This window comes from Homo sapiens, chromosome 9 (genome assembly GCF_000001405.40).
Source record: "Homo sapiens chromosome 9, GRCh38.p14 Primary Assembly".
NCBI classification, from domain to species: Eukaryota; Metazoa; Chordata; class Mammalia; order Primates; family Hominidae; genus Homo; species Homo sapiens.
In genome coordinates, this window is record NC_000009.12 from 23,530,909 (window position 1) to 23,543,171 (window position 12,263).

The 12,263-nt window shown below is 40.1% G+C and overlaps 1 long non-coding RNA gene across 1 annotated transcript in view; it reads right to left on the minus strand.

The window, feature by feature from the left end:
* Positions 1-12,263, minus strand: part of LOC101929563 (uncharacterized) — a 171,709-nt gene that overhangs the window by 30,218 nt on the left and 129,228 nt on the right. Inside the window, exons 15-17 of the long non-coding RNA NR_121602.1 lie at positions 10,629-10,742; positions 9,671-9,816; positions 7,455-7,519 (exon numbers count right to left, since the gene is read on the minus strand). This is a non-coding gene — a long non-coding RNA (uncharacterized LOC101929563). The remainder of the gene's footprint in view (positions 1-7,454; positions 7,520-9,670; positions 9,817-10,628; positions 10,743-12,263) is intronic.

Below are 12,263 nucleotides of genomic sequence, written 5' to 3' on the forward strand. Positions count from 1 at the left end.
GCACTGCAGAAGCTTCCAACAAGAGACCGTCAACATGCACAGAAAAAGCCTACTCTCCTCAGCCAAAGGACTAGGACAGGGTGTCCAACCAACAGAAATATTTATGGCAATACCACCTCACTGCAGCCAAATCCTAAAGAAAAAACTGCATTCCCCCATCCTGTGGTTTTAGTGAGGCTGAGTACAGCGCTCATCTTCCACCCACCTATAAGGTTTCTCTCCTTATAGAAACCATCAGTGAGGCTCATATTCCCCACATGGGTAGTTTCTTGACCCCTAATAGAGGTCTGGAGGCAAGAGGAGCCTCTTGTCCCTACCAGGTAACAAAAAAATTTAAAGGAACTGTGAGTCCACTTTCCCCTGGCCCTGTGGCAGTGAAGCCCAGTGGAAAGCTGAAACATCCATGCCCACCCAGCAGTAATAGGAGGTATGGGGCTGGGTTAGTTGGAACTCCTTGTCCTGCCATCCCCTCTTTTTATTTTATTTATTTTTTTTTTTTTTGAGACGGAGTCTCGCTCTGTCGCCCAGGCTGGAGTGCAGTGGGGCAATCTCGGCTCACTGCAAGCTCCATCTCCCGGGTTCACGCCATTCTCCTGCCTCAGCCTCCCGAGTAGCTGGGACTACAGGCGCCCGCCACCATGCCTGGCTAATTTTTTGTGTGTAATTTTAGTAGAGATGGGATTTCACCGTGTTAGCCAGAATGATTTCGATCTCCTGACCTCGTGATCCACCCGCCTCAGCCTCCCAAAGTGCTGGGATTACAGGCGTGAGCCACCACGCCCGGCCCATCCCCTCTTTTTGTGTTAAGGACACCCAGCCAGGAGCTGGGCTTCCGTCCCATCCTGCAGCAACAAAGCAATGTGAATCAGTCCTCTGCTTTCCTCCCTCGCTGATGATGTCAGGGCACAGTCACAGTCATTAGCTGGTCTTACACGCCCACTCGGAGGCAAAGAAGGAATACGAATTAATACCCCACTTTCTCTAGAAACATGTCAGTGGGGCTAAGGAAAGAGCTAAATTTTTAACCCACCAACCTGCAGTAAGGCAGTGTGAACCAGCACTTCACTTCTGCTACTAGCAGAGCCCATTGGGAAGCTGGACACATACTCATACCCAGCCCTCAGGCTACACCTCAATAGGGGGACTATGTATAACACTAAAAAAAAAAAAAAAAAAAAAAAAAAAAGATTAAATAGAATCCAGAGTGCCACAATATAACATCCAAAATGTCCATGATACAATAGAAAATCACAATTTAAATAGAAAAGATATCCACAGCCATCAACACCAAGATTAATCAGATATCGAATTATCTGACAAAGATGTTAAAGTAACCATCATAAAAATGCTTCCATGAGCAATGATGAATTCTCTTGAAACAAATGAAAAAAAACAATTATCAACAACACAATCTCAACTTGTTAGGTTTATATAACTAGCAACTATGGCTGGGACATCTGTTCTTTCTCAAAATCAGAAGTTGCTTATTCTATAACGATAAGGATAATTTGTCCACCTGAAAATAATTACAGTGCTGACTCTCATTTTCCAAGAACCTAAGAAATTATTACGCAATTTAATCTTCTAAAGACCCCACAGCCAACATGATGACCAGAAGTTAACTTGATTGTCTGACATTAGTTGTTTAGCCATTTCCCATCAATTTAACCCTGTTTATTCATTTGCCTAGCATCTATTTTGAAGCTTCAAACCTCTCACAAAAATCCTCTAGCACATGGTAAATGGAAGAAACAGTGAGTATTTTGGGCTTGACACTGACTTTTATTTATCCTTGACAATGATAAAAATATACCTCTTTTCTTCTGAAAAAAAAAAATTGTCAAATGTTTGCTGTGGGATAAGACCTTAAAGAGAGAAATGCTTCCAATGGTCTTTCTTCATTGTTTTAGGTTTGTATGATATCAATCAAGAGGTGCCCCAAAGTGAACCTTTGCTTAATACCTGCCATAATTCTAAAATCTATACATACAGTCTTTGTGCATTAAACACCTTTCTGTCTTGAGGCATTTTCTCTCGAAGTGAAAACACTGTGAGGAATTCCATCTCAGGGATGAGTGCCCTGTTAGGATTCAAAACACCTGGCTCCATCTGACTTCACTGCTCACTGCCCAGTGTGACTTGGGGCAAGTCTTTAAACCTCTCTAACCTCGTCTTACTATTTGTACAGTGTAGATAACCCACCTATCTGGTCCACTTGGCAGAGTTAGCAAGAAAAATAAAATGCTGCCTATGTGGATGATTTTTGTAATGTAAGGAGCTATACAAATACAAGTGATTCGTATTACTTTTTGGTAGAAATTAGTAGAATTGTATAGAAACTTGTTGTTACGTCAAAATAAACTCTTCAGTAATTCAAACATACAAATAGGATTTTAGGGGCATCTGGGGAGCTAGTAGGTATATTTAAAAGGAATTAGAGAGACTATGAGAGGGAAGATGGGAGGTTGCCATAAACAGGTTTTGCCTGCACCTCAGATGTCCCTGAGATACTTAATTGGAATGGGTGGTCCTTCAAACAGGTACAGTGGAGGATATGCTCAGGACCAAGACAAGGCTGGAAGCTAAATATGCTGTTTCTGGCATGACACCTGGATCCAAGGGGGTGGGCAACCTGAAAGTGCCATCAATTATGTACACAGTATTTCCTTGCAAGGAAAAATAGAAATAGTCTGGAGTTAGTCTTTCACCAAGATTGGCGGGTAGGAGGCATTAAGATAGTCAAGAAGACCAAGCTAATGGATAAATACTACGGGCTTCAGTGCCTGCCATCATCAACCTGCTTCCTTAACTAAAAGTTATGTATTCCGGAAAATAATGCGAAAATCTTGTTGCTATTGAAGAGCAGTTAAAGGCAGATAAAATCTCAACGCTGTAATGTGCATTCAGTTGTTTCAACTCCAGGGACATACAGGTGTTAAGGTCAAATCTCAGGGAAGCCAAGTGCCCAGCACTGTTTCTAGCCAGTTGTCCTCTCCCCAGTCAACTTCGAGTCTCTGTAGAGAATCATAGTTTTCTTTCAGAAACTGCTGTGCCTACAGTCACTGAACAATCAAGCATTTGTGTTGTTACTCCTCCCAGGGATGTCAAATTAGAAAACAGCATCCCATCTCTGGGTGATCTGTGTTGCTGTGAAGTTGCAAATGAATTTGTTGTCTTGCTTTAAAAAAAAAAAAGTGCTCACATGTATACCTATGTAACCAACCTGCACATTCTGCACATGTACCCCAGAACTTAAAGTAAAATAAAAAAAATACAAATAAAAAAGTGGTAACTCATGTAAAAAAAAGCTCAAAAATTATAGACCTTCCTCAGTTAATACTATTCCTGGAGTGTGTTAAACACTTTTCCCCAGTTCATTTTTGTTAAAAAGCTATTCCCTTTTCTTCCACCCCAACCCCTGGAAGACTGCAGAAGTTACAGGAAAAAGTACTGGAATGAATGTCCAAAGGCTAGAGTCTAATTTTATTCCATTACTAACTTACTGAGTGACTGACCTTGAACATGTCTCAACCTCTTTAGAATATTGATCTAAATATTATACGTATTTACTGTCTGTGGTTGGCTGACTTTTTTCTAATTTGCTTTACTCTTTTGTTGGCATCTGCTTCTATATGAAAAAAAATTACTGGTCTTGGCAACCATTTCCTGAAATAGAGTTTAATTTTCTTACAGCCAAACTATATGTAACATCACTCAGAGTAGTGACTCGCACTACAGTTTCACAAGTGTGTATATGTGTGGATTCTGATAATTTTGTACTCTGTAGGGGAGGAAAAGAAATACAACTCAAGTTGAGAAGAAAAATTATCCTCAAAAATGTTTCGTTATCACTGTTTTTAGAGACTTTTGTTAAGGTTAGAGTTTGAGATAGCACCAAGGTGGTAAAATGTGCAGAGAACAATGATAAAGTCTCAAGTTTAGCAGTCAGAAAGACCTGGGTTGAATCTTTGTCTCTGCTACCCACTAGCTATGTGATTTTTACACAACTGGTAAGTTGGTATAATATCTAGCTTGCAAATTAGATTTTCTATGGCAAATATAATGCAAATAAAGTCCTTACACATATAAGGAACTCAATAAATGGTGCTTTTATAATGATGATGGTTGTGATTTCTGGGGGCAGAAGGAGAACACAGAAGGAGGAGAACAATACTTTGCTTCTGTAGCAGCAAAGTCATCCTTTGTCAGAAAAGGGCTTTCAGTTCGGTTCTGTAGAGCCTTCTAAGGGGGACTGTAAGCTACAACTCATCTTAAGAATTTCAACCCATGTCTCCTGTTTTCTTTGCAATAGACCAAAGCATACCCTCTAAGATTCCAAAGTGTCCCCCATGAGCTTCCCCTGAGGATATTTCCTCACGAGAAGTAAGAAAAGGCCCATCCTCCAATTTCTGGGACCTAAGATGATGATCATAGCAATAATAATAATAAAATAATGCTTACCACTTATTGGGTTCTTTCTATAGAGGCCAAGCACTTTACTAAGTATTTTACATATATTATCTTATTTAATCTTCTCATCAATTTTGTGCATAGGTATTATCACCCCATTGAGAGATAAATAAGAATCTCAGGGCTCAAAGAGGTTAATAACTGAAAGTGCCAAGATTCATGCTCCACTTTCTTATTCACTACTTTATTCTGCATTATGTGCTACATGAAAATACTTAGCCTTGTTAATACTTAACCCAGGCTCCCTGGCTGCTAGGATTTTATGCTAAATTGTATAATTAGAATTTCAAATTTAGGGCAGTGACTGAGAATTATTATACCTCAATATATGACCTTACAAAAGTATTTACTATAATAAATTTGTCTGCACTATCTTTTGGGGAAGTCTACAGAATTCTAAAGCAGAGTCACACACTTAAACAGAAAAGAAATAGAAATGAGACTATACTTTTTTAAAAGGTGCTCAAATTAATAATTAATCTTTTAAATTTTTAATTGACATATAATTGTACATATTTATGTGGTACAGAGACACATTTCTATGCATGTATACAATGTGTAATGATAAAATCAGTGTAACTGGCATATCTACCACCTCAAACATTTATCATTTTTTTGTGTCGGGAAATTTCAGAATCCTCTCTTACAGCTATTTGCAAATATACAATAAATTATTGTTTACTATAGTTGCTCTAAGTGCTAGAGAAACCAGAACTTATTCCTTCAATCTAGCTGTAGTTTGATTTGCCAATATATGTGTAAATGCTATGTGCCAGGCCCAGTTATAAGCATCTTATACCTATTATTTAATTCTTACCACAATAAAAAATTCTATGTGTAGATGCTATTAAAATTCCCATTTTACAGATGAGAGAACAAAGGCACAAAAATTATAAACAACTATTTTTGAAAGAGTTGATTAAACACCCAGGACAAGAAAAAGTCTTTAACAAGCAAAGAACACAGATGCAAATGAAAAAATCAATCTTATTTATAAAGAAAAACAATAAAAACAACATAGGAGTTGTTCCTCGAGATTGAAGGATATTAGTGATCAGTTTACAAATAAATTGGGTTTGCATATCTTAGATATGTTGGATTTTACACTACTGAGTCAGAGAACACTCTCATTTTGCTCAGATTTAGTCCTCAGAGATCCAAAATAACACCCAAATTGCTACTTCACACATATTATCAACATTTGGTCTTAGATCTCTCCAATAACTTTTCTGTATTTCTGGAATTGTTTCAGGAGATCCATCGCCTAGGTTTCATAACATATTTAATTAGTTATTCGTTCTTATTTTGTTACAAAACTCAACAAATGGGTTGTGGCATCTTCATTTATAGAATGAACACTTTCACTTTATGAAATTGGTGCTACACACTAAGTCATCTGACTATTCCATGGTCAACCTTCCTCTTCATTTTAAATAAATCGTTTCCAGCTTGTACTGCTTTTAATGAGATTAAATGAATAGAGACCTAGCCTCCTTTTATTATAAGGAGTTGATCGTTTCAAATATCCCCAAAGTCATCTTGAATCTGTGAGATCCACTGCCTGCCTTTTGTAATACTTAACTGGAATGCTTTATTCCAAGAATAAAGTGGTGCTCAAAGTCAGCATTTAAAAATGTTATCAAACAGATTTTTTTAATGTTGCTAATTGCCCTTCTCCTTTCTCCAAGAAACTGTGCTAGCCTTAACATACATTGCCACATATATAAATACTAAATGCTTATTAAAAGACAGGCATTGTGCTAGGTGCTGGAGATACAAAGATGTTTAAGATACACCCACAAAGAACTGAACAAGACAGGGCACCAAAGCCACTCAGCTGACTGTCATCTTGAAATTATGGATTCTGTGTCCTAATTTATCACCCTCATTCTGTTCTAGCCTTTCTGATGCTTGGCATTAATTTTCCTTTTCTGAGCACTGACCCCACCTCTCCTATTCTATTCCTCCACTGTTGAACCGGAACAAAGGTCACTTGAAAGCGAAGCAAAACTCAGCTGTTACCAAAGGCGCAAAGATCAAAGTTGGCAGCTACGCTAAAGTTCAGGATTCAGAGACTTCCTCTTTAAGATCAAAATTCCAGATGATCCAAATATAGGCAAATGAGCCCCAGTAGAACACTCAGCTTTCTGTGCTGAATCCAGGAAAGAAGCAGAAATCACCATAGAAGCAACTCAGTTTCACTCTTTGCAACCCCGTGGGCTCTATGCTAATTGCCTACCCCAAGAGTGAGATCGCATTTCAAAATATGGTCAAACGCAAAACAGCCAAGTCAATCAAGCATTAAGTATTCAAGCACAATTATCCGAACACATGCCCAAGGACCAGCAGTGAAGCAGCTTAATTTGGGAGCGGCTCCGTAATCATCTCTCCGGGCAGCTGAGATTTTAACCTCTCCCCTCGGGCCTCCTGTTCGGGGCACTAGGCTAGCTCTCTCTGTGTGAGAGATCACAACGGGAGCCGCTGCCCCCCAGTTGTGAGGCTTCATTTAAATTCATGCTAAGGGTAAGGGAGGGGGAGGGGGCAGAAGGTCTGCAGAAGCCCCCATTGTTGGGGAGAGACGTGTGGGAGCAGATGGTCTGGCTGGTCACTCAGTCTGGCTGTCAGATGCTCTCTGTCAAGTTCCCTGGGGACTGCAGGGTTTTCTTTCCACTCTCCGCTCTGGTCATATGTGTTTGCTCAGCGTGAGCGAGGGGTCTTTTTCTTTATCACCCCTCAGACTTCCAGGGGGCTGAGTTGCCTTCTCCGTCCCCCACTCCTTCCCTCTGCTTTCTCTGCTTTTTCTGGACCAGCTAGTGCCGCGCCTCCAAGGGCCCGCTCGCTGCAGAGAAAAGCAAGCGATTTCCTTTGTCTCTAATTGATGCTGCGCTCTCATCCAGCAGCTTCTGACTGGCATGCTCACTCGGTTATTTAACAAATTACTCCACAGCCCTCATTAGAACTATTGACATGTACAGCTAACCAACCCCTACAGTTAGGGACGATGTGGTAACCGACTTCCATCATCTTCGTGGCTCCTTTTACTTCTGTCCTGCAATGGGATAAGCAGATAGACCTTCAGAGGTTTAGTGGGCCTTAATACTCACCTTTTATATTATGTCAGGGTCTAAAAAAAATAAACAGATAAAACATGGGTTACAGATGCGACTCTTATTTGCATCAGTAAGGGACAAACACGGAGTCAGCTTTTCTACATATAACTCTGTCTCTAAAGCATTAGCTGTTGAACATAAATCTTGGCCTCAAAACCTGCTCCCTTTTAAGATTCCACACAGCTTGTGCCAAGGCAGCTATTCCTTGCAGTTCTCAGTTAAGATTTTCCCCAGCTCAGGAGGCTGTTAAATTTTAGTTTTTAGACCATACTGGCAGCTCAGGACTCACTAATGATGCCTCTGTCAGCTGGAGGAAGTCAATGTCAGCCCAGAGAGGATAGTGTCTGAGATTGGGTGGCAAAGTGAAAGTGAGAAATATCATTTGATCCCCTCATCTGGCTGGGATTAATGTTTTCCTTTCATAAGTTATCCTCTGGAAATAAACGTTTGAGTGTTTCCATTTACACTCATCAACAGAATTTTGTTTTCGTGTTTATCTCCCTTTCTCCCCAAAATTATAGAAACTTGAAAGCAGAGATTGTAGTAGTCGTATTTATTGGTTCAGGATACAGTGTTATCTCTTCAGAGTAGCTCAATAAATGTTAAATAAACAAATGACAGAAATTAACAAATACTAGAAATTAACAAAATGGAATATAAGAAAATGTAAAAGAAGACTAGCTCTAAACTAAATGTGAAACATTTTTTCCATACCCCCACTATTCTAGATATTCCTGTATGCTACAGCAAAAACCATACCATTTTACTGTGAAGTAAAATGGCTGTGAAGAATTAAACAGAAAACCTGACTCACTAAAAACTTATAGTCTAAAAGATCAAAAACTCTAACTGCCCAAGTACTAATGTCAGGTGAAGACCAGCCCACAAGCTAGCAACTTGGACAAGCAGTTTTGCAAGAAGTGCAATTGACACATCTGTGAGGGATGGGACAGGAGCTTACCAAGGCCTGTAAACCTCACCCAGTTATTTGCATGAGCCCTGAGTAGACAGGGGTTACATGCAAAAGCAGAAGGAATGGATTAAGTGCAGGGCTGCTTTAGTGCCCAAGATACAAAGTGTGACACGGAGAGTGGGGGCTGTCTTCCCCTGAGTAGCACTGCTGCAGGAGCTTGAGCATTTACAGCTTTCAGAACCTCAGGGGATGGCATCTTTAGCACAGACATCAAGCTTCTTCATTGAATACTTGTTGCAGTAAGATACCAAGTAGCTTACCAGGACATCATTGTGGGTGGAGGGGCTGAAGAAAAAAGAAAAGGAGGAAATGGACACAACCCATTGTAGTACAGAACACTGTGCAAACACCCCTAAAGAAAGTCAAAAATTGAAAACTTAAGGAGGCCTGCCTATATACCCTACTTTAGCAGATAAAGGTGAAAGCCAGGACATATTGTTTATGCACACTTACATACATACTTTTCTTTTTACGGCATGTTAGCTTTTCTTTTCATGTAGACATAAGTACCAGAAAACCCATCTTGCACATATAACAATACACCCTCCAATTTGAAATCATAGAACACTCTTTAGGAGTGGGTATCTCTATAGTTTGTGTTCTATAATTTTCTAAGAAAGACTTCTCTAATCCATTCAATCTACTGTTTTTTACCTTTACAAAAGTCTTTTTGTTATAACATGAACCAAAGAGACCACTTTAAAATAAGATGAGCAAATGCTCTACAGATAGACTGCCACCATCCCTTCTCATACCCGTTACAGACATTGCTGGTCACTAAAGGCTTTAATTCTAGCCTTCAAATTCTGCTAAAGCACAGTATACCAGCAGCTTTTACCAATCAATCTGTGCTGGTATTTGATATTGCTCCTATTTGTCACCTTCTTTAAAGATAATAATCACATATTGCAAATATTAAAGCACAGGAAGTGAGCTTCATTGCTCAAGAGGCAGTGAGAAGACTATGACACAACTTTTACTATCAAAAGGGCATGTCCACCATTGTCAGGAAGTGCTCCTGGTTTCCACAAGAAGACATGGAATGTAGCCTGTGGGATGGGGTAGAGGATCATGATGGGAGGACAAGCTTAGAAAAATGGTAACTTGACATACTTACATTTGTGTGTGTCTATGGAGATAGTGGGTATTTGGTAGCATTGAGGAAGCTGAGGAGTCCTAGGAAGATTTTCAGGGAGGTAGCTTCTCAGGCTTGGCAGGCTACAGGATAGGAATAGGAAGTTGTTTCTCCTTGGCCACATCTTCCTAGAAGTGATAAGGGAAAGCCTTGGATCTCATTTCCTTTTTCTTGGACAGGACCTTCATATTAGCATACAGGCCCCTTAGGTGGTATGTTAATACATAAGAAAGTCCATGACAGAAACTAACAAAAAACAGTCACAACACAGAGTGCCATTGGCCAGGAGCCTTTGCTGCACACTGTCAAGAATAAGAAATTTGAAGAGCAGGTAGGTTTTGTTTTGTGGTTCAGGTTTCAGCTATCATTTGAGTGCTATGTGCTTTGTATATATTAACCACCTCACTTGATCCCCACAACTGCCCTGTGAATTATCCCCATTTAAAAATAACTAAGACCCAGGCGGGGTACAGTAGCTCAAGCCTGTAATCCCAGCACTTTGGGAGGCCGAGGCGGGTGGATTACGAGGTCATGAGATGGAGACCATCCTGGCTAACACGGTGAAACCCCGTCTCTACTAAAAATATAAAAAATTAGCCGGGTGTGGTGGTGGGCACCTGTAGTCCCAGCTACTCGGGAGGCTGAGGCAGGAAAATGGCGGGAACCTCAGAGGCAGAGCTTGCAGTGATCCGAGTTTGTGCCACTGCACTCCAGCCTGGGCGACAGAGTGAGACTCCATCTCGAAATAAATAAATAAATAAATAAATAAATAAATAAATAAAAATTAATAAAATAAAATAACTAAGACCCAATGAGGTTAAAGTCATAGAGCCCGAAGTGGCCAAATCAGTATTCAGATTAGAACGGGTTTGTGGCAACAAAGCCAGGGTTCTTTCACCACACACTGTAAACCCATCTCAGGGGTGAATAACCTACACACCTAGAATATCTTTAAGGCCCATCCATGCTTCTTCCTTCTCTCTCTCTCTCTGACATGAGCTTTACAGGGACTTCTTTTTCCTGGCCAACTCTGTTTCATGTGCCACATCTGGGTCTGAGAATGGAACAACAAGAGAAGGACAGTCTCTATGGCTTAACTTTCCAACAGTAGAAAAGAATTGAAGGCACCCTTCTCTGAAGTTTCACTCCCCTTCTCTTGTCCAGTGAATATCTAACCAGGCTGTTAATAGCCTCATTTGTGGGTGTCTATGTTTGTTTTACACCAAAATTACATATGATTACATTAAAATTATGAATATTCCTGATTGGCCACTCATTGATGGTAGTATGAGACAGTGAAATGGAAATAAAATTATTCTGAGATTTCAGCTCTTCAACAAATGTACACTGACATAATGTTAATATTTAACAGCTGGTATGAATCAGGTATCAACCAGAGAGAGTGTACAGGCCCTGGGGGCTGCCCAGCTGTGCCAGACATTAGGAACCTCTTAATTGCTGAAATACAGAGAAATGTGGAAAGATGGTAGAGTACAATGAGAAGACCCAAAGGAGCGACCCAGTAGCAAGAAAGTTTTCCAATAGTTTAATAATTGGTAGGGTCATAGAGGTGGTGCAACAGTGGAACATCAGCCCTGGAGATGCTTCCTAAAACATGACTCACGGTAACACAATGGAATGTTTTAACATGTCAAGAAAATTATGTTGACAAAAAATGGGGTTAGCCACCCTGTTAAGCCACCTGGCATAGAACATGGAGGCCAATGCCAACAGCTGCACTCATCTTAATGCTAATCCAGGAGAGACTTTGGTCCATTCATCAGGATTCATCAATGGTGGAGATGGGCCCAGCTGGCTCTCTAAGCCTATATCCATTAAAGAGTTAAGCTACCTAAGTAATCCCTTCACTCTGCTTCCATATCTATTTTAAAATTTATTTTATTTGAACTTCTGTGCTGCTTTTTCTCTGTGAAACAGCTAAGATGAAAATATTTTTACACAATCATGTTGAGCATGTTGAGCAAACTTGGAGGAAGTAGTAGATGTCTATTACATTGCTGCTTTCAGCACCCTTCCCTGATCAGCTTCAAGTATGATAATTAACACAGATATTGGGCAAGAGAACATTCCTAGGAAAAAGTTTGATTTCACTATGCCTAGTATGTTTAACTTGGAAAGTCCTGAAGGAACTGTTTCAGTGATACCAGCCAGGTTTTGCATTAAACATGATAGTTATGGGGAAAAATAAAAGAAGGAGAGTGAAATTATTTTCCAAGTGCTGGTAACACTGAAAATGTAAACAGATTCAAGGAGGGTTTGGTAAATCCAGTGATGTAAAATCTGAACAGATTAGTGTCCTCTCAAGTCCTTTGAGACTTGTGTGTTAGAGATTTTCTTCCCACCAGGCTGATGCTATGAAAAGGGATTATTAGGCAAGTTGAAAAATTACAACCCATTTGATGATATACTATGGGACTGTGAAGGTTGGTGGCACAAAATGCCTGATAGGACCAACCAAACGTCCCATTTCTTAAAACCTCCAACCTCCACATGTTCTAAGGATGAAGGGTTTGAATAGAGGGAATCAGAGGCTTGAGCAATCATTGGAAGGGCT